The 23,118-nt window shown below is 38.1% G+C and overlaps 1 protein-coding gene and 1 pseudogene across 3 annotated transcripts in view, besides 1 other annotated feature; both read right to left on the bottom strand.

The window, feature by feature from the left end:
• HTR2C (5-hydroxytryptamine receptor 2C) overlaps positions 1–15,046 on the bottom strand; it is a 325,976-nt gene extending 310,930 nt beyond the window's left edge. For all 3 annotated transcript variants that reach the window (NM_001256760.3, NM_000868.4, NM_001256761.3), the window contains exon 1: positions 14,473–15,046. The gene's annotated coding sequence lies outside the window, so the exon portion shown is untranslated. The remainder of the gene's footprint in view (positions 1–14,472) is intronic.
• On the bottom strand, positions 9,147–9,542 carry RPL36AP53 (ribosomal protein L36a pseudogene 53; annotated as a pseudogene).
• Positions 15,047–15,546: an enhancer, noted in NCBI's record as "H3K4me1 hESC enhancer chrX:113818053-113818558 (GRCh37/hg19 assembly coordinates)". NCBI's record gives its function as "activates a minimal SCP1, AML or CMV promoter by ChIP-STARR-seq in naive and primed H9 embryonic stem cells {active_cell/tissue: H9 hESC(naive and primed)}" and the evidence as "EXISTENCE:reporter gene assay evidence [ECO:0000049][PMID:30033119]".

Here is a 23,118-nt window from a genome sequence, read left to right as displayed (position 1 = left end):
AAATGTACTTCCTGTTCATTTTGAATTTATTAAGCATGACATGATTCTCAAGGACAGTATGATGTAGTCAAATTTTTAAAGGCTTTCATTTAATATGCTACATAGGCTTCAAGAGGCAGTGAACCATGGTGGAAAAGAACCTGATTTCAGAGTTAGGAAATTTAAGTTCTCTCTGCAGTTTTGCCAATAATTAGCTGTATGACCTGAAGCAAATCAAGAACCCTCTCTAAGTCTTAATTTGTTCATCTTTAATAATATATAATCATTTAATAATAACAGGCAATATTGAGTCACTTACAAATGTGATCAGTATGCTTTAGTTCTACTTGCTTTATTAGAGTGCTCAGTATTTAATGTGTTATTATTTTCATAACGTTATCCATGCATTTAGGAATTATAAAGTACTTTGCTGGTATTCCTAAAAATAATCTCATAAAATGGATGACTTTTTGGCATTGAGAACTAACAGTCATATGGTATTTGGACTATTAATTTTAACTGAAAGTCTATCTACAGCTCATTACTTACTTGTAACTTAAACCAAGGTATAATTCAGGTTTCTAAGGGCTTGCTGATAGCAAGTAATTCATATGACTCCTAACTATATAAGGGACCTTACATATTTCTATTGGCATCATTCAAATAATCTAATACATTGCTAAACACACAAAAGGCACTCAACTCCTGTTTGCTGATTTACTTATCTTTATTAAGTTAAGGGAATAAAAGCAACAGGACTGAATATGAATGACTCCAGACTCATGGAGGCTTTTTCTGTTGTTAAACAAAAGTCTTATCCATCCGAAAATCTCTGTGAGTCAGTCAAAAAGAGGTTTGGCCACTCTATGTTTAGGTGATAGTGAAAATGGCACCCAAAAGGGTTGATCCAAATTTACACTTCCTCTCTGGGCTTTGGGGTAAAGAGGTTTTTGTATCAATATTTTCATCCCATGCAATCTCTTTTCTATCTACTGTGCTCTTACAATCTTCTCTGAATTTAACAGTAACCTTTGCTGCCAAATCCTTTGTGTAGAGCTCATATATTTGATCTCCAGCTACTGACTAGACTTCAAACTACTAAAGATCAGAATTAAGTATTGTTTCCTCTTCTGGGAAGCCCTGAAGTACTCAGTCAAATGTCTTGCCCAGAGCAGAATCTTAACAATTATTGAATGTAACAATGTCTAAAGTTGGGGAAAACCTGAGAAAAGTTTCATCATTAATATTCCCAGGTAAATATCAATCTTAAATATTACCCAAAACTTTAAATAATAAATGCTTTATTTTTGGACTTCCATTCTTTTCTTTTCTCTCTACAACCTTCTCTTTTTTGTACAATTTTGAAATTTAGCTAAACTAGTGTAGCATGGATTGTTCGAAATTCTATCTCCAGAGATCCAGTATCACATTTTCATTTCTCCAGAGAACATCTGATGGTGCATGTCTCACCACTGTTTTAAACATATTCAGATTAGAGGTGACTCTCACCCCCACTAACTAGTTCCTAATTTACCTCTTCTCATACCGTGAAACATGAATATCCTATGGCCCTTTGGAATATTGTCCTTCTGTGTCAATTCAAACCCTACTTGTCCTCAAGCTCCAATTCATTTCCTCTCTATGCCAATAAAATTCCTTTAGTTGTTTCTTTTCCTTCATTTTTATGTGGTACACAATTTAGTCCTTCACTATATAATGTCTTCATTTTTGTTGCATGCCAATACAGTTTATCTTCCCAAATAGAAGATAAATTTCTCAATGGTAGGAACCGTAAAATGTTTGCTAAATCCTCCCTTGACAGTTTTGTGACTCTAAGAACAAGTGTTATATTCTCTAACATGTGTTTTTTACAATGTCGGGTATAATTTAGCTTCAAAAAATATTGCTTTGCTTTTTTTTTTTTTTTTTTTTTTGGAGATGAAATCTTGCTCTGTCACCCAGGCTGGAGTGCAATGGCACGATCTCGGCTCACTGCAACCTCTGCCTTCTGGGTTCAAGTGATTCTCCTGCCTCAGCCTCCCAAATAGCTGGGATTACAGGCACACACAACCACGCCGGGATAATTTTTGTATTTTTAGTAAAGATGGGGTTTCGCCATGTAGGCCAGGCTGGTCTCGAACTCCTGGCCTCATGTGATCTGCCCACCTTGGCCTCCCAAAGTGCTGGAATTACAGGAGTGAGCCACCATGGCCGACACAAAAAATATTTCTTAAATGATGATGATGATGTGATAGAAATCTACACGATTACTCAGACAGATCAAGAGCAGGCTGGAGTACCACAAGTTAAGATCTGACTGAGGACAAAAGTTTGAATAATTCTTTTGAAATTATTTTATAGCAACACAAATTGTACAGCTTTAGATTCATTAAAGATAGTGATAAGGTATCTAGATATATTTTCCAGGGGAAAGTAATTGGAAATCAAAATGGAACACTGATAAAAGTCATGAACAAGCTATAAATAACTTTTCTTTTTCTTCTTCCTGCCATTTGGGATCACCCCCCAAAGACTCAAAGGAGTTCTGAATACAAATAGAGGAAACTGAATACTCCTCAAAAAATAAATGTTCTAGTACAGGGGCAAAATGATCATATGAAATATAATTAAAGGCATCTAGATGAATGTTTGTCCAGAATTTGTTTTCTTTTGTAACCCTTTATAAGGTAATAGCCTATATCCAATTCAATCTAAAAATATAATAAAGGAATAAGACAATTTCTAATCATGAAGCTAAACCATAAACTCAGCATTTACGTTATTGATATTCAGCAAGATATTAATGAACTCCCATTTAAAATTCTCCACTGAAAGCTAACTTTGGGATAATATTATTCAATTATTTCATCAATTTTTATACTAATTAAAATTTTCTCTTAAAAATTGTTTTTCTAATACTTGTATTTAAAGCAAACATTGCTACCTTATCCACATGCACAGTATATTTTAAATGTTTAAATCCAGGGTATGCAATGTTAAATTGTTTATCAGTGCTTCTGTATTTTAAAAATATGCCATGTGTGTGGGTAAGGTAGAAATGTTTTCTTTAAATACAAGTATTGGAAAATGATTATTTTTAAATGCAGAAGGTACCCTCTGTTATCTGGGTTCTGGCTATTACAGGAAATGTGAAAGGGATAGGGCTAATAGTCATGAAAGTAAGAGAGAAGTCATAATAAGTTGAAGCACTCTTTTGAAAAATTTGAAGCAGAACTCAATCAAGGCTTGATTTATTTTAAGGAAACTTTGTTTGGCTAAAGTGCAACCAGATAGCTAGACTTCCAATATATTCTGCAGAAAATGATTTGGGATTTTTTTTTTGTGTTTTAATCTGTCATATTGCTCATTAGTCAGTCTATTGTTATTTAAATCTTGACCACATGCAAATGAATGTCTGATTCTTTGTAGAAAACCAAGTATTTATCATGCTTTTTAAACATCTGGGAGTAACATGACTCTCTCTATATATATATACAAATATACATACACATATCTATATCTATAACTTCCTAATTGTATCATTTATTTCTAAGCATCTGAAGTTCTCTGGAACTAAATATCCATGACATGAAGAGAGGGGAAAGTACTGGAAATAGAATGAAATTTTAGGGCCGAGCATGGTGGTTCGTGCTTGCAATCCCAGCACTTTGGGAGGCAGAGGCGGGATGATTGAGACCAGGAGTGCGAGACCAGCCTGGGCAACATAACAAGACCCTCATTTCTACAAAACAACAACAACAACAACAACAACCTGGGCACGGTGACACACACCTACAGTTCCAGCTACTCGAGAGGCTGAGGTGAGAGAATCGCTTGAGCCCAGGAGTTCGGGGTTGCAGTGAGCTATGATCGCATGACTGCACTCCAGCCTGAGTGACAGAGTGAGACCCTGTCTCAAAAAAATAAAAAGAATGGAATTCTGAATAAGAACTCATGGGTTTGTTTGAATCTGGCTGTAGAATTAATTGTGTGACTTTACATAAGTAATTTAACCTTTCTTACCCTTCGTTTTCTCATTTGTGTAATCAATGTAGTAATACTGGCCCTAACTAAGTCGAAGTTATGTTGAAAATCAAATGAAGGGATATATGAGAAAAATATATACAATCTCTAAAATATCTACAAAGAAAATTTGTATTATGGTGTAAAAAGTAGATATATTAATAATAAGGATATTCTGTGACTGTATTATTAAACCCTTTCAGCTATATGTTGCCTTCGTTAGAAAATAAGATAAAAAATTAGGGAGGAGAAAACAGGAAACAGAATATAAGAATTGCTCTTAGGCTGAAAAAATTTACAATAGGAAATGAAGAAAATTTTAAAAATACTTGATAGAAAATATAAAAAGAGTTAAGAGAGAATGGAAAGTAGATATTGGGATGAATCTCAAAAAAACATATCTGCATTAGCGAATCTGTAGTAAGATCAAGAAATTTGGAGTTGTCTACATGTTATTTGTAATCTCTCTTTCTGAAGCCTTTAGAGCTATAGGAATTAAAATAATGAAAACTTTTGAACTAGAAAGTATAAGTATCTCCAATGTTCTTTACTATGGGTAAAAGAATTATCTATGTTCAAAGGTTGACAATATGAATAACTGGAATTGTTTACATTTGTGAATTGCTTACATGTCAAAATGCCTTTTGCCAAAGCATTTTGATCCATTTAACCTTTACTTCTTTTTCAATTTCTATATATGTATTAAACATTTTAATATTGAAAACTGTTTTACACCCATCTCTCTTCTCCCCAAAAGTAAAATATCTATTATGGTATGATTCACCGTTCAAGATGTCTAGAAATCTTCTAGAAACCCTATTGAGAAAAAAACAATGCTAATTATTTTTAGTAACATTTCTAAATCCTAAGGAAGTTCATTTTTTTATATATTAGATTAACTATAAGATATGGCTTAATCGTTTCTGAAAATGCAGGAGAGTGTTATCTGTCCTATCAAATAGTTAAGTAACTTCTTTTGTGTAGAGTTTGTAGCTGCACAGTTTAATTTATTATAAATCACCTAAAATGAATGTTACTTATTATTAATAGCCAAAGATATCTTAAATTTACTTTAAATAACAAAAGACAAAAAGAAGACATGTCTTCAATCACTCAGAAATCTTTAAGACATGAATCATTTCAAATGTAGGGCACTGGAGTGAATGGAAAATGACAAGTTAGAGACCTGAAGTGAATATTGACTTGAGATTTTATAAGAATTACTTAAGTAGCTGAAGAGTCATAACCATTAATCTTCTGGGGCATAAAATCAACTACCTGAGTATTATTATTTGAAGTGGATTTTCAGAATTAGAAACTGTTGATATTTTCTTAAAGTTGTAGCATTTGAAATTATCTCAGTAACCATCCAGTCTGATTTTCTCTTTTGGCGGAGGAGGACATAGAGGCTTATAACAGACTAGAACTTAGGTTCTAGTTAACTCCAAATTTGCACTATAAATACCTTTCCCACAGTGCTTGTGTCTTTTTGTATATTAATTATTCAGCAAATATATGTTGAGAGAAGCCACAATATGTAATGATATATGCAAACGGTAGCTGGGGAGTATAAACATGAATAAATTATAATCTTTGTTCCATGTGAATTTATAATCCAGTAGGAAAGATAAGACTCAAATTTAAAAGTGACGTGATGCATGTAAAACCTTTAACACCAGGCCTGCCTCTAAAGTATAAGTTAAAAACCAAGTAATAAAAATAAAATGCGATAGAAGCCAGGTGCAGTGGCATGCACCTGTGGTCCCAGCTAATCAGGAGGCTGAGGCAGTAGGTTCGCTTGAGCCCAGGAGTTCAAGGTCAGCTTTGGCAACATAGCAAGACTCCATATCTAAGGAAAAAACAATGTAATACAATGTGCTAAGTGCCATGTAAGAGGTGCAAACAATTATGTCTATTTTCTTAAAATTTAAAATGGAAATTCTGGTGTTCTTAAGTATGTGAGTGTAACCTAGATGACTTTTTAAAATATGGCCAGTAGTCTTTTTACACTGCACACACAAAATTATAACACATTTGCATTCTAAGCATTGCTTCTTGGCTTTATAGTCTGTATGATATCCTTCTTCCTCACCCCCTCCAATCAAACCGTACATCTTTCTCTGAATTAAGCATGAGGATTTGTCTGCAGTCATTTCCTAATGTTCCCTGTTAGCTGAAGCTCATCACTTCATAACCCACTTTAGAGTCCCTGGGTTTCATTCTGATATTCAGCAGCTACTTTGGTAGCTGACAACTTTTAGCCTTATCTATGCTCTGCCCAGGAATTGGGTAGCATTATTTGGTGCCATTGTAAAGAGAGTGGGAGATGTGCAGAGTTCAAACATGAGATAGGGAGTTGTCTGAAATGAGCTTTCAATTACTAACCCTAAGAGTCTATAATCACAATGGAATTTAAAAGGTGGCACATTTGAACAACATTTTTCAGAAATAATTCTGAAGCTGTATTAATGGACTGAAATGGGGAATAATTAAGAAAAGTTATCCACGAATGAATCCAAGGTAGGAAGGACAAGCATTATTTCAATTATCATAAGAAATTAAAGAAATCTGGGAGAAGGGATAGAGTGTTTTTTTAATAATTTCTCACTCTATAAGTGTTGTGATAAATGTATTCTGTATTATACTAGAGAAACAAATGAACTTTTATTTGATCTTGTTGCTTCATTCTCAATCAAGAGACTCAGAATATCCACTATGTTTGTACAAATTTGGCTGCCTTTCTGAAAATGGCACTTACCCAAAGTAAAGTATAAATCTATGGTAAAAATTCAAATTACTTTATAACAATGTATTATCTTCTCAGCATTCAAATGTTTTTCACTTTTAAATTCTGAATTAGGTTGGTGCAAAAGTAATTGCGGTGAAAACCACAATGGTGAAAACTACAATTACTTTTGAACCAACCTAATAAAATTTGTGGGAGTTTTCTCCATGTTCTCTTCCCCATTTTATATATTATACAATTTGTGACTCTATATTTGTAACCTTAGGGAAGTCAGTCATATAACCTCAGTGGTTTCTGTATTCTGTATCTGTTTATAACAAAGAGGTTAGTTTGAAGGATCCTTACAGAAAGATTACCTAGTATAAGGCTCTCATTTTGGAGTTGTGGAAACTGAGGCCTGAGTTAAGCAAATGACTGGACCATTTTTTTCTTCATTCATCCTGAGTGAGAGAGTAGGAAAGAGAGAAATCAATGTTGCCTATACCATAAATTGCAAAACTACATTATTACATTGAATTGCCTTTACTGTCTAACAGTACTTATTTGTTTCCTTAGGGAAGTATTGTAGAATATGTTTTTCACCTCATTAGCATCCAACAAAGTGTTAAATGTACATTAAGCCCTCAACTGAAATTCTCTTGCTGAATTTCAACTAAGCCATTGCTGAAATTCCATAATTCTTACAGGCTTTTCTTTATTCATCTTCATCTTACAGTTCACTAATTTGGCAGATAAATATGGACAGTGAATTTTATAGATTTACTTACGTGAAATTTAGGAAATTGGCTGAGGTTTGGTAGTAGAAGCAGGAAAATTTGACACAGACAGTTACCCAGTGAGAGGTGGGTAATAATCCTCCAAACTAAAGAATCTGCCCTTGCTAACTTAAATAATACTTTGGAGAGCAAGTCATTGTATCAATGAATAGTCATTTGGGCGCATAATTCTACCATACAAGTTCTTTTCCATTTACATAGTGATTTTAAAAATAGATATAGAGGTATGATGAAATGACTAAATAAATAAATCTATTGAGAAACCAGCTCATTTCTGCTTTTTCAAAATGAAGTTTCAAAAAATATTTGTTGGAGAGACACCAGATCTTCCTTGTTTTACTTCCTTCAAGAATGAAGTAATCAACTTCTTTCTGAATCTATTTTAGACTAACATTACATTTAAAACTAAAAGATACAGGCCTATTAGACCTCTGGGAGTCATTGACCAACCAAAAATGCTAGAACAATCTACCCACAAGCCACAAAGCATTAAATTAACTGTTTAATTAAGATAAAAAAAACTAATAGATTCATGACGTGATCACTCAGAGCAATTCATTAATACTAATGTCTGATTTCCTTTAACAGTATAAAAAGGAAGGAAATAAAGCTCTTATTTACAAGTTTATTTGCTGCAAAGGCATTTAGGAATTGCTATTTTAAAAAGAAAACTTGCGCTTCTTTCTGAGCCATCAACCCATACCGCAAAATGGGTGCAGAACTCAGTTTGCTAATAAAAAGAGAATTCTATAGCCATGCATGTGGTCAATGAAATGGTCTCTCTCTCATATATGTATATATAATGGTGTATTTCACTGTGAAATGGAAAATAAAACAGTGTGGTAGGGCTAAGCTTTAGCTAAACTAATTTAAGAAGATTTATAATATTTTTATTGCCCTAAAATATGTTCAGAGAAATTACCTGAAATCATTTCAGGGGAAACTGTTATTCTGTTAGATGCCTTGAATTCTTGAATATTATTGTGCAGATGTGCTAAAAATTCTATTTTAGCTCTTCCTTCATCTTCTTTCACCTTTACTTTAACCATTGGAATACAATACAATCAATCAAGATATGTTAACTGATTACCTACTATGGGCAAGGCACTTATCATATATGTGGGCTAGTCAACAAAAGCTTCCTGCAAGAGGTGGGGCTTGAAACGGACCTTGAAGATCAGACAGAATATAGATACATTTGGGAGAGAAAGCTACATACCACAGTACTGGACTTCTCCAATCTTTCTAGCAATAAATTCTTTTTTAATCACGGATCAGGTTTTTTGTCAATTTAAAATGGAAGTAAGAAATGGAAGTAATTGGTTTGGTTTTTGAATTTTTAAAAACCTACTTTTAAAAAGACTTTAATCATATTTAGAATTTTTCCAAGTATGGTCTTTCTACCCTGAAATAACTTTAGTCTAAGTATTGTACTCAGATATGGTTTTTCTACCTGGGCTCAGATCAGTAAACTAAAAAACTGGCAGTTACTTTTTATAGCACCTATTTTCCAAGTCATAGCTATCAAATTACTTTTCCTGACTCTAGTATGAAAAGGAAATACATGGCAAATGGGATCAGACAAGACTTGAAACCTTCCTGATATATGATAAATAATTTTTAACACAAACTCAAGATTTTATTGTCTTCATAATAAAACAAAAGATGACACTTAGAAATGGATCACTTGGACCTTTCTCTTCTTATCTCTTCCCAGTTCAAAATGCTTGCATCTTTTAATGGCAGCATTCTCTTAGATTTGCAGTTGGGATCAGTGCACTCAAGCCTTAGCACAATATTCTTTGTAGTTTTAGCTTTTTTCCGAAAAATTGGCTTAGTCTGCCCACCATATTCACTGCGCTGCCTGTCATAATGCTGCTTTCCCTGGGCATACAGAGAATCTTTGCCCTTCTTGTACTGTGTCGTTTTGTGGGGTTGGTGCTAGCCACACTTCTTTAAGTCTTGTGAGTTTTAGGAACATTCACCATGTTTTCGGGAGCACTATCGGTACGGAAAGAGATAAACGATTTTTACTGATCCTTCTGTCAGTCGGTCTTAGACCTTCAGAGCTTCTATTTTACTGCTTGAATTTCAAGTAGGCAATATTATATAAATGACAAATATGAATGGCCTTTGTTGTGGTGTTACATGTAGTAGAAACCTGTGGGTCCAACTCACAGTAGTAACATCTGCCTGTCCAGTCATCTCTACATACAATAGCATTATTTCCCTGACTTCATTTCTGTCTTTGTATTATCTCTGTAACTCCCCTGAGCTTCACTCAGCTTCTTGTCCCTCAGTCTCTCAGCATTAACAGTACATTCTCATTTGCTCTACTTCTTTATTGGTAGGTGAATCTCTAGATGAAATGTTGCATGTCTGTCTCATTGCCTTGCCAAGCAGCATATCGAGGATTAATGGACATTGTCCATTAATATCCTCACATTTACATGCAAATTTGTTCTGTTAAAAGACTAGTTGTTACAGTATGAAAGAAAAATTAGCCAATTTCTAAACAGAGGCAATAGTTTGTTGTTTAACACCACGGCCTCTGGAATAAAACTGCCTGGTTTCAAGCTTGGTTTTGTTCATTCAGTTTGAACAGATTAACCTCTTTGTATGCCTCAGTTTCCCTAACTGCAAACTGGATAATAGTAGTACCTTCTCATGGGGTAGTCATCAGGCTTGTATGGTTATATACCTGTAAACCTCTTAGAACTGTGTAGTGCATGGTAAATGTCAATAAATAGTGGCCACTGTTACCATCTTTTATACCTCTCCTCTTAAGAATAATTACTTGCTAATTTGGGCAAGTCTTACTACTTTGATTACAGGAAGCTATAATTGAAGAGTATTCAGTGAGTCTTGATTACTGAGATAAAATGGGAGATACGTAAGTTTAAAATACACTTGCAAAAGATTTGAACACTGACATTTATTCGTAAGCGTTTACTGATTAGTTTAAAGAAGACATCATGTTTTATGAAAAAGTAAAGGAAATCCTAGCCAATTCATTCATTGCTATCCTTGTCTAGATATTAGTTGACATTATCTTTGGTTTCAGTGGTGTTCAGTTTTCACTTTTTATTTTTACATTGAGCTCAACCCCACACCTTGCCATTAACGCTAATTCAACTCTGAATTTAAATACCCATATATGGTGGCTGTTGCACTGGACAATGCAGTTCTAAAGGCTTTCTAATAGCTTTCAATAAATTTATGCATAGTTCTTAATAGGTAATAATAACAGTATGTTACCCAAAGGTGTACTTGTATTTAAAGGAGACAGTGACTAAGATGAAAGAGGGAAATTCCTGAATGTAGAATTTCAAGTTATATGGAAAACCATGAAGGCTACTAATTTAGGGACCAGAAGGCCTTTCGAGTGCTTCTCAAATTAGACCATGTAAGTGGTCATCTATGCATAAGGTTAACCATAATTAAGAAGAATGACTGTTTCAAATGCCAGCTATATGTACAATGCTATAATACGCAACTATTTTAGGAAACTGCAGATGACACTGTCTTAGCCACAGCTGAGAAGAGGAATGAATAGCGAGGTTGAAGTAGAGATGCCAGGTAGGAGACAAAAACAGAATTAAAATTCCATCTTGTGTATATCTTATTTGAAATCCTGATTTCACTATGTCGTTTGTGCATTAAAATGTCAGAAGTGATTAGCAAAGAGTTGTTGCAGGTGAGCATTAGTATTAAATCTGCTAATGACTTGCCAAATGATGATGCAGCTTAACCACTTGGTTGTTTTCAATGTTGTTTGTCTAGAATGGAGATGACTAGACTGTCTTGCAGCAATGTTCTCAGTATATGAAAAAGCCTTCTTAAAATGTCTTGAAGAATGGCAGTGTTGGAGAGATCCATAACTTGAGCACACATTAGACTGGAGATTGATGATTTCTTTTTGAGGTTCAACAGTACAATATGTAGATGAAATGACATAGGTAGCCTAGAATGCTAACAAATAAATAATAAATGTTGCTTAGTGCAATAATTTAAAATTTTCAAAGTGCTTAATACCCATCTGTTTCACAACAATCAGGTGGGGTTATATATGATACTGACATAAAATATCACAATAATATATTATTAACTTCAATTTATGATGAAGTTTTCCTAGTTTGCTCATGGCTACCAGGCAGCTAGAGGAACATAATTTAGCAGTTCTTCCACTAGACAATACTAAGCTGTATCAGATGCTTTACTAAAATAATCTCAGTACACGTACATCATCCTTTTGTGAGGTATTCCATTGCTATGAAAGTGAGGTGGTAAGATGCTCCTTAATAATACTGGACAAATAGTCTGGAGCTTCAGGAGCCATTAAAACCTGGGAATTAATTTATCTTTCAGCAGGCTCAGCAAACTGCAACCTCCTTCAATCTCAGGCCTTGAACAATTTAATAAGAATAGCTGAGGATATTTAATGTTGGTTACTATAATCTCTCCCCCAAATTTTGTTTTAATTTTTGTGTTTCCCTTAGCTGGAGAGGGATGACGTTTCCTTGAAGGAAATACATGGAACAGTAAAATTATTGAGGCTTGACTCAATTATAATGTTGGATGAATCTATTAGAATGTTAGGCTTTTTAGATTTTACTTTTATTGCTCTTCCCAAGTAGACTTGGAAGCACAAATAAATATTTCTTATTCTCTTGCCTTAAATTAACTTTTGAGAATACCTTGAAAAATTGAGGGGAAAAATCTAATGGCACCGATAAAATGGAGGATAATAATATCTCCGTCATTCATAGACTTGCTATGAAGACTATATGAAATAATATATATTTTATGTATATATATGTAATAGTCCTGGATCCACGTCTGGCATCCAGGAGGTTCCCAGAAATATCAGTTCTCACCTCTTTTCTGATGAATTCATACTGCACAAAAGCCTGTTACATTATCTGAAAAAGTCATCACTGTCATCCATGACACCTCTAGATGGAGATAAACCCCTCAAGAAAGCATAGAAAGGGTTAATAACCCTCTCTAGATAATGCAGATAGAAAAACACCGTCATTTTTGCTAAAGCACCCCAAATCCTACCTTGACATTGCAATCAACAAGCCTTATCCACCTTCCGAATTTCAGGACTTGCGTTGGGCTTGTTGCTGTAGATGATAGACGCTATTAGGAAAGAAATCATGTTGATGAAACAAATATTTTCTTCCCTCCCCAGGAGGATCAGGAGAATTTATTTAAGGAATGAAAAATATAATTAAATATTCTATAACCTACCTCCCCAAAATATGGACAAAATTATTTATTTCCCCCCACCTGTGGGGTGGAATGGGGGGGCATTGTAGATGATTCCCAAACAGCCAGGTGCTAAGGAGATTATACTCTTCAGAACAGACAATATTCAGTATGATTTCAGTACTGCAAAAGAGATGCAATGATCACGGTAGATATCATTTTCTGTGGGGCATGTCAGTTGGCCTTTGTCATTGTCTCTACACATATGTAGCCAACTACACAGTAACACCTTGTTTCTATTGCACTCATATTTTGATTGTCAGAATGGCTGATATGTACGTAAACTTCTTCATGAAAAATTTAAACTCTGGAGCCCAGATATCTTTTTTCATTACCGTGTATGTGAGGTCGCAATTGTCTGCAAACTGGGGAGCTCAGAGGTTACTCAGTGCGCCGCATTTCCTCACCCCCCGCCCCCCAAATCATCTTAGCTCAACCATATATGAGCGTCCCTCGGTTAGCCTGCCTAAAAGGTATGAGGTAAGGGGCATATGCACTTAGTGGCTCAGCAATCAGAGGCTTCCTTGGATGGGACTTATACTGGTAATATTAATGAAGAAGCTGCGCGGTACTGGCAGTGATTCCAGACCAAATCTTTTAACTGCCGAATGTCACTCGCTGAATTATGAGTTGGGGAGCTCTGTTGCTTAAAATACAGGGTTCTCAAACACAATGCAAGTGTTTGTCACCTCAAGTCGCATACTACCCAACAGGAAGCAAAAGGCAAAGGGCATGGCGCAGAAAAGAAACAGACACACAGACACGTTTTGCAATGACGAACTTTATGTGACATCAGGAACGGCAACCTGTTCTCATGTTTAGCAATTCCGAGGAACGCTGTAAAGACTGCTTGTCAGGTAAAACTGAGTACAGGAATAAGAGGCAGCGCTGGAGACTTTTTCGCAATCCTTTTCAAAATATAGAACAGTAACCAAATGACTTAGATAAGCTAATTAATTATTTAAAAAAAGGTTCACTGGATGCCTTTATCCTCTCCTCTTAAGCTTACGTGATCACCAGCAGCGCTGTTCAAATTCAGCTAACAGCTGTTAGACCAAACACAGATCCGCAGTGTGTTATCTCCCCAGAGTTACGGATGTTCGCTGAGACCCGCCAGAAAAATTAGGGTCGCTTTTCAATGAGAACATAATAAAGGATCCTTGGTTCCCCCTCTGCACACACTGTCCCAAACCTTGCGCCCCCTCCCACTTGCCTGCTGTCGGATTTCTTAAAATTGTAGTCGGTCCTGCAACTCAGTTGCATCTTCCGCAGCCCGACCCTCTACTCAGCGACATTGCGTTCAGTTTCCCTCCTTTCTCTCCTCCCACTCCTCACTTCTTGAGACCCCACCCCCGCCTTCCGTTTCTGTCTCGGCTTCCCCCGCGCCAGGTTCTCTAGACCCCCGCCTCCGCCCAGCGTCTTCATCTCGAGCCCCCGCTCCCAATCCCCTTAGAGACTTCTATGCTCCTTCCGTGGAACCTAAGCTCCTCTCTTCTTCCAGAGACTCAGTCTCCTCGCGATTTGCGCGTTCAGAGTCCCTCCCCCCAACCTCCGCTAGGGCCAGTGCGGTCCTGCAGGCTGCAGCCATCCGGGACCTGTCCCCGCTCCCCACCCCATCCCCCGCCTAAATCGTTGGGGTCTCGGCTAGCAATGCCGCCCGGGGCTCCAACTTACCACTAGCGTCCGGGAGGAAGACCAGGCAGCGGTCGCCGCGGCGGCAGCTAGACGAGAAACGGACTCGGCTGCAATCGCCCAGCGGAGCCCGCGGCAGTCGGTGCGCTGAGCTGCGCTGCGCTGCGCGCCGCAACCTCGCGCCTCGGCGGAGGGAGAGGAATGGAGGGAGCTCGGCGCGATAGGAAGCGCCGGCGAGTCGACCTCCTTTGGGTGACCGTGCGCCCCCCGGCTAGGTTTGGCTCTTTTCGCTCCGCTATCTTACTCTAGCTTAGTAACTGACCACCTCCAGCATCTCTGCACTAATCGCGTCTTCTTTCTTCTTCGTTGGCCCCTAACTAACTACACTACTCTAAACGGACGAAGGCCATCACACGAGCGCCACGACGATCGCGACGACTCCGACGACAACGATGTACAGACAGAAGAAGAGTTCATATGCAATCGGCAGGTAAGGGGCAAGGCAGGCCAATGGAGCAGCCAAGGCTAGCAATCTAGCCGCTCCAAAGGCAGTATCGGGAAGATCGGTGCATCTGAGGAAGGAAGCGTCCTCGGCAAGCACCAGAGCGCCTACCTCGCGCGGGTGAATCTGCACCACGCTCTTGGGCCAAAAGCGGGATGAGGGGAGGAGCCAAGAGCAGCCAATCAGCACTCAGCATTACGTGGCCCCCGGGCCTGTTTGGACCGGTCTCTTAGTGCATCTGGAGCCTGCTGGCAGGGGGCGCGAGACCCCATGGTGGAGATGGGGGTGGGGGTGATGATTAATCTGATTCACAAGGCCTAGAGAGTAGGGGGAACCAGGATCAGCCATGGCACCGGATAGAGAGAGAGGGAAGGCTTTCTCAAGAATGTACCCTCAAAGATTCATAGCATACCCCTCCCCAAACACACACACACACACACACACACACCCCTGTACATTTCATTTCAACAAACAGCATTCTCAAGTCTTGCAAATTTCATCAAGCTTTGAAACTCCCTTCAAGGGTCTCTGTTCCGACTCTTGCCCATTCCTCCAACAGTAGCAACTGAGGCACTCACAGGGTCAAACATTTGGTGAGTGCGCAAAGGCCACAATCCTGTTATAAGGCCCACTTCCCCATCCTTGTCTCCCCATCCTTTCCCTAACCCCAAAGGAGAAAGAAAAGCTCTTGGCCTTCGAGCCCCGGGAAGGCACAGTTTAGTTCCTTTCTTGACCCCACAGGCCTCATTAGAAAGACACCTTGAGGGCAGCTCTTACGGGTTTCCAAGGGGGTGAACATATCTCTCTGGCACAGGGCCTTGGGCCCACAGCCAGTCGGTTGCCCAGTCGTTGTGGGGGAGGGAGGGGTGCTGTCAATGCAAGGTCAAGGCAGCAAGAGGTGAACCACAAAGGCTCTCTTTTGGCAACTGCTGGGATGCCGAGCTGCAACCGGTCAGGCAGAGCTCTAACCGGTCAGGCAGAGCTCTTTTTCACAGGCTCCCAGGCGCAACCGGGCAGGTGCCTGCGGTGTCCTGGCGGCAGCGCAGAGAAGGGTGAACGGGGCCCCCTTGGCTCAGAGGCACCAAAACCAAGCTGAGTAATGGAGATGATCCCACGGAGAATGGGGACAGAAGCAGATCTCTCCTAAGAGGGAACGAAGGGGCGAGCGGGGGTGGTGGTCTCGGGTCGCGGCCGAGGTTTCTCGGCCCTGTACCGAGGACCGGGGTGGGAAAAGTGGAGATTGGCTCCCCGCCTGTCGGAGGTAGCTGGACCGAAGCAAAAGATCGAGCCTCCGGTTTGGCTACTTAGGACCGGACGGCAGCGCAGCGAGTGTATAGAAGAGGCTACAGAGAGGCCGTACAGAGAGAGGCTTGGAGGACCTAACCCGGCAGAACGCAAAAGGGGTGGGAGCTGCCGGCTATTCTGAAGGCCGAAGTTTGCCTCAGTAGCCCCAAAAGTTAGAGATGGAGAAGGAAGTGGAAGCAATGATAAGGGTCAGGCCCCTTCCTTATTCTGGATGCCCTAGGAACAGTCATTTCTCTCTGTGCCTCTGTTTCCATATTTGTGAAAGGAGCTGTCCAGTCTATTCCAAAAGGGGCATTTTGGGAATCCTCTGATTCCCTCCATCGCCACTGAATTCAGGCTTTGAAATTTAATTTGGCAGTGAACATACTGTCGGCACCCAAGTTCTGTTTCGAAAAGCAAAAACCCATCGCAGTTTTCTTGAAGCATCTGTTGAATGCTGCTGTATGATGCCGCACAGGTGGCTGCGACAGCGCTGCCAAGTCCACCGACTGCACAACGCTCGCATCTTTAGAAATGCTTTGGTAGCGAACAGTAATTTATAAATATGGAAGAGAAAACGTATGTCTTCTCTTTAAATAATTAAGCACTCATCTTTAAAAACTCCCCAAGTGTCCCCTTACTCTATGAATGTGGAATGCTTAGTCTTGCCTTTTCTGGCGGGACTCGTATTTATTTTGTCAGAGGCTGAGACATTTATATTACTTCAAAAAATGTAAATATAAATCCCTGTGATATTTTTGCTAAGCCAAAATGGATCTGCCGAGCAGCGAGTGGAAGTTAGCATCCGCCAAAACCTGTTCTCGCTCCCCGGCTCCCGGGGGAACCGGCTTGGAGAAATTGACCATGATAATAGCAATTATGAGGATGAGGATGATGGTAATAATAGTTTTTATTATTATATATTTCGCTCTAAAGGCTGTTCTCTCCTTCTCCTTGTGAAAGGCAAAAGTGCCGAGAGCGACCAGGGGTGAAACCCACGTGGTCGTTGGGAAGGTTCCCGCAGCAGCAGAGAGAAAGTTTGCTAGCCACGCGGCTTGCTGAAGCACGTCTGGGCTTCGGAGGTCGGGTAGAAACAAGCAGGCACGTTAGCCTTTGAGCGGCGCTCGCCGAGCGGCCCAGAGCCTGTAAGACTGAGCCGGAGCGGTCCGCGGCGAGGCTCGGGGTACCGGGTTCCGCCGGGACCGAAGGCTCTGCTTTCTTGGCATTTGCGGCGCGTACTGCCTCTTCAGGTTCTCTAGGCTGCGGCTCGGCAGAGCGCTGCAAGGTCCGACGGACTTTGGAGATTTTGGCAACACCAGACCAGAGAATTTAGTGTAAGGAGAAATTTAGGGCGCACTTTAGGACTGGGGAAGCAAACTCAAAACAAGCACATGCTGGCGCTTTCTGTCGCTCTGTCATTGCCAGAGAGGTTTTCTGGAACCCCTGCCTAACGAGGCCTGGGGAGTCAGCCCAGGGTTTTCACTGCTTTCCTTTCCGTTCCTCAGGTGTATGGAAATTGTCCCTGGAAAGAGGAGTTATTTACAGTGAATTCCTCAGGTTTGATTAAAATCCCCAGTGCCCCCCGGAACACGGTTTCCAAATATTTCCCGGTTTCTAAGGCTGTGGACTTGTTTTTACAACTTTCGAACCGGGGCGATTTCCTCCTACTACAAATACATATGTTTCCAAAACTACTGATTTAGAAATTCGGGAAAGAATTAAAGAAGATTGTTACTACGTAGGAAAAAGTTCCTCATCATTTGAAACTTTGGGAACTTTTTAAAAAAATAAACTGACTAGAAAGTTTACTTCTCTACTCATTATTATTTCCCCCTCTTGACCAGAGAGCCCTATTTTAACACACCTAAAGGATGACAGACAGGTTTAAAAAATGAGTGACAGGATTCTAGCAAAATTCTCGAAGGCAGGTATTTTCACAGATCAAAAGAAGCTACACAAGAATTCTACCGGGAGTTTTTTTTTTTTTCTTATTTACCACCGGACATAAATGCAAGGAATTTTGATAATACTTCTACCCATATTTTTTCAGTTTTAAAGCAAATTATCATAGCCAGATATGTTTTTGGTAGTAATACAATTGTATCAAATTATATTTTCAGCATTCGCTATTACTACTTAATCGTAAAAACCCAGCATCAGATCCATAATGTCCATCGTTGAGGCATGCCACACCTAGAAATAAACTTTTATGACATCGAACACAATTGACTTTTCCCTTACTGTGCCTCAAACATGGTCATAGACTTAGAAAAAAATCTTAGACATAGATAGCTTATTATACACAGTCTTTTTAAAGTTGGTAGGATTATTTTTAATAAAAAAATAACGCAGTAGAACTCTGTGTGCTGTGTAGGAAGGCAGGGGGCAGTCTCTGATCGTGTCAGTCTCTGTAAGTGAAACTTCTGTTTGGAAAGATCTTCTGTTTTAGAGAAAAACAACAATCAACACTGGTTCTCTGACGCTCTCATTGAAGAGAAGAGAAAAATACTGGAAGCCTTTTGGGAGGGGGAGTTGGAAGTTCCCATTGAAGGGAAGAGAAAAAGACTGGAAGCCTTTTGGGAGGGGGAGTTGGAAGTTCCCATCACATATTTCTGCCACGTCTAAGGAAAAAAAAAGGTATATCACAATTAAAAATCTGTGCTTATTTCTTTTATGCAAAAAACCGTATTTAATTAATTTTATCTAACATCCTTCTAGTAATACAATATGTATTTTGTGTAGTTTCCAGTAACCAAGTATATGTTTGAAAAAATAGCAACATGCATGCAAGTTTGAATAGGGATTGGGAATGGAATCTTGTAGCCTCAAAAAGGAGAAAGAGCTAGGAGCTACTTTGACATCAGTTCTGTAGGGAAATATGTGTTGTCTTGGAGCGCATTCGTGTTATGACGAATGCATTTTGTATTATAGGCATGCATTTCACTCTTCCAGTTTAGGATAACAAAGATGGCAATTAGGACCTTTTATTTAAATTAAACTGAGATTGAAAGTCCAGGACTACAGTGATTTCTTGTTCATTCTTAGCTCAAGACTACTGGTCGCTGAAGCCCAGTAGTCTTGCTACCCATATATCTTACTCTGACTCTTTCAGACCATTATGATTTCTACTTCCCATTTCTGTAATAATTAGAGCTATAACCATGCAACCAAACATTTCCTTGTTTCGGAGTTATGTCTAAAGTAAAGTAATGGGCTTGGTTTCTCTGGTCTGTAAATCAATATCATTACATTATTTCAAATGAGTCGCAACATCACTCATTGCTACCGAATCCCTTCTTTTCTTTTTGTAAGAACTATTCCCTCAACCAAATTATAAGGATCTCAGGAGGAAGCATTTAACCATAAGCTTCTCTTCTCCTTTTTTCCACAACTATCCTAATACTTCGCACAAAGAATATAAGCAACAATGATAACTACCATTGTTGTTATGCAAGAGGTTAAGATGAATGGTCAAGAAGGGCTGGACTTCTAAAACTCGAATTTTTCAATGACCTGAATACAAATGTAAAAGATGTTTTACCAAATTGGCCCTTCATGCAAAAAGATCATGACAGTTTGAACCGACCAAGATGAAACTTAATAGTAATAAATAGTAATAAATGTGAGATGCTCAATTTGAGTATCAAACTTCTCTGCACAAATTTAGGTCACCGAAGCTGGGAACATTTGGTGAAAAAATACTTATTGATTTTAGTTGACATCAAGATCAACAAGCCTTCAGTGTGATCTGGTTGCTGGGAAACATAATTTTATATTGAGCTTTTGCAACTTTCATAAAAAGAGTCAAAATGCAGTTGGGCTATATACGGTATTTTCAGGCACATACTTTAAGAATGAAGATTGGAATTCATTTATCAGAATGATGGGAATTCATTCACAAGAATGTTCAGATCAGTAGAGTGCTGGAATCATGTTAGATGGGTTTGTATCATCTGGAAGACATGACTCTTGGGTTACATGCTAGCTGACTTCAAATATTCAAGGGATTTTCTTAAGGAAAGTGGATTTAATTTATTTCCCAAGTTTGTTATTCATGTCTTATTTGTATCTGTTACCTCAGTGTCTTGCACAATGTCTGACACAAACTAAGCATTCAATAAATATTTGTGAACTGAATGAAACTATAAACATTAAACTCTGAAGAGAATAAAACTGAATTTAATGAATCCACAGTTTCTGGCTCTAGAGGAGGATTTTATAGCATTCAGAACTATCCAAAGATGGCATAAGTTGTTTCAGGAGGTAGTTAGTTCTCCACTCTTGAGATGTTCAATGCTACAGAGGTTAATCTCTTGGTGGGGATGTTACAAAGGAGAACTATGTGTGAGGAAAGAGAAGAACACGTGGCTAATGAATGACATTTAAAGCTCTTTCCAATCCAAAATCTTGCACAATGAATAAATGCTATCTTAATCTAATTTTATGACATAAATAGATATTGAACTTTCTTAAAAACAGAGACAAAAAAAGTTATGTACTGCAGACTGGCCATATAGATTCAGCTTTGTCATAAGAAAGAAGCAGCCTCCTACCAAGTCACAAGACACTTTTGTTGAGCCTGTTGCACTTGATAGCTACTGACTTCGGTGGAAAATAATCTCTGGGAAGCTTATTATCATGTTAGTATACTATCACTCTTTACAAGTCTAGAATGCTACAGATGGTCCCCGACTTACGAAGATTAGACTTACAGTTTTCTGACATTAAGATGATGCGAAAGTGATACGTATTCAGTATGCTTCTTAACAATTTTCCTTTTTCCTCACCAACAAATTTGAAGGCCAAGTCTCTACACATTTCAAAGGCTGAAACAACAAAAGTTCATTTAAGATGATGTTTTAAAAACAAGTGATAGCAAATTCCCTGTCATCAAAAACTAAAGAAAAATAATATGGTAAATAAACATTTTCTTACCATATATACACATTTTATTTATAGACAAGTATAGAAATCTTTCATTTTCTCCAAGTGGAGCTTAATTTGAAGCAAAAGCCAATATAGTAATGACTAGATGCCTATTGTCATCTAATGGCAGCCCTGCAGTAGAAGTACCTGAGTAAAAGTTTATTTTCTGGCCTTTTGATTTTTGAATCAAAATTATTTTTACTGTTTATGCATCTTCTAGTCATTAGTAGGAAAATGATAGTAAACTTTTAATAGGTGATCTTGTAAGGGAGAGTAATGAATTCTTACTTGGTGATAGAGCAAAGCTGTGGGGCAAGATTTGCCAGAGAACACAACTTTGTTGGTCTTCCAATTTGACCAGCATTCTTCATCTACCAAGATAAGATTCAAAAATAAGCCTTTATCCTTTAGAGTGTCATACTCAATAATCAAGAAAAGCACTGATAAATCAGGGACTAGATAGTTTAGTCTATCATTGTTAATTTTGTCTATGCATTTTTTATTTCATTATGACCTCAAAAAAACCTTATTGTCAATATAACTTGGCTGAACTTCCAAAGATACAAGGACAGAGGTGAAAAAATGTAGAGAAGTACCTCTCATATTCTTTCAAGCCAAGCCACACAGTGGGAGCAGTATTACTATCGTCTGGTTTGATTACAAAGTATAATGGTTGAGTTATATCAGTAGTCCTGATATTTTGAGAGTTTTTAATTTTTTTAAAGTCTGTGATATCAAGTAATGTGGTATTCAGAACATTACAGTAAAACATACATCTAAAAATGGTTTGCCTTTCAAAGACTAGACATTTCAGTGACGCTATGATTCGTCAAAATATTTCTTAACATCTCTTTTGAAATTGCCTTCAGAATATGCCACATTGTTTTCAATTTTTGGCAAAAGTCTATGTCATTGAGAATTGTGTCTGGTGATTAACATTTTATGATCCGAATATTTTGTTGAATCAAGTGAAAGCACATGACCTTAAAACCCTCTGGAGGAACAACCAAAACAAAAACCAGTGTCTTGCTTATGTCATTCTTGACAGTGACAATTTACCCTGGAGTAGGTGAGAGTTTTCTTCCATTTGTTCTATCCTCTTATGTGTCTGCTCTAGTAGAAACTCAAAATGTAAGTTTGCCTGGAAGCTTGTGCACAACAAAGATAATATTTAAGGCAATATTTCAAAAACTGAAGCGAGAAAAATAGTATTTCCATGGAAGTACATGTCACCAATCTGGCTATTAACTGTATTAATATAGTAAAAGTAGAATGAGTATAGTCTCCCTCACTCTCTTCCAGAAGAATGGAAGGATTAATGATCTAAGTTAGAACTTCTGAACTCAGCATTCAATTACATGCTGTGTAATCTGTATTATTTATAACTTCACAGTGTAACCATGGCTAGAAATCTTTTAAATTTGAAGGTTCAAAAAATTATGTTGGTGCATATGGTTTGGAAATTTGTAGAAGAACCAATAATATGTATATAATCTTTCACAAAGCTGATCAATAAATTTATTTAAGAAAGCTTTGCTCTAGGAAGAAATGAACACCAGGTGATTTAGCGACCAAATTCCAAATTAGTACACAAATTAACCTATGGTTTTGATCTTGAATATGTCGGTTCATCTGTTGGCTGCATTTAGAACAGAAAAGAGGCTTAAAGTACGATATTGGATTTATTAAAGAGGCATTTTGTCTGAAAAAGTGACCTCTATGTTATTGCAGATAGTGTGCCGCAATTCAATCATCTCTATCCTTAAGATTTTTTAAGTGCGTGACTTCTTACTTTGCTGCAATCTAAACTCTGACTGCTTATCTAAGAAAGCTAAAATATACACCATGTGGTACAAAAAATGATGACTACAGAGACAGTTTGATCAGATACCAGATTAAAATGCAAATCAAAGTAGACCAACCCCTGTTGTAGATGAAATGCAACCCATTACTTTTTTAAAGAACCATGAATTTTA

Source organism: Homo sapiens, chromosome X, assembly GCF_000001405.40.
Source record: "Homo sapiens chromosome X, GRCh38.p14 Primary Assembly".
Classification (NCBI taxonomy): domain Eukaryota; kingdom Metazoa; phylum Chordata; class Mammalia; order Primates; family Hominidae; genus Homo; species Homo sapiens.
The sequence above is the reverse complement of the archived record's forward strand: the minus strand, read 5'-3'. Positions and strand labels throughout refer to the sequence as shown.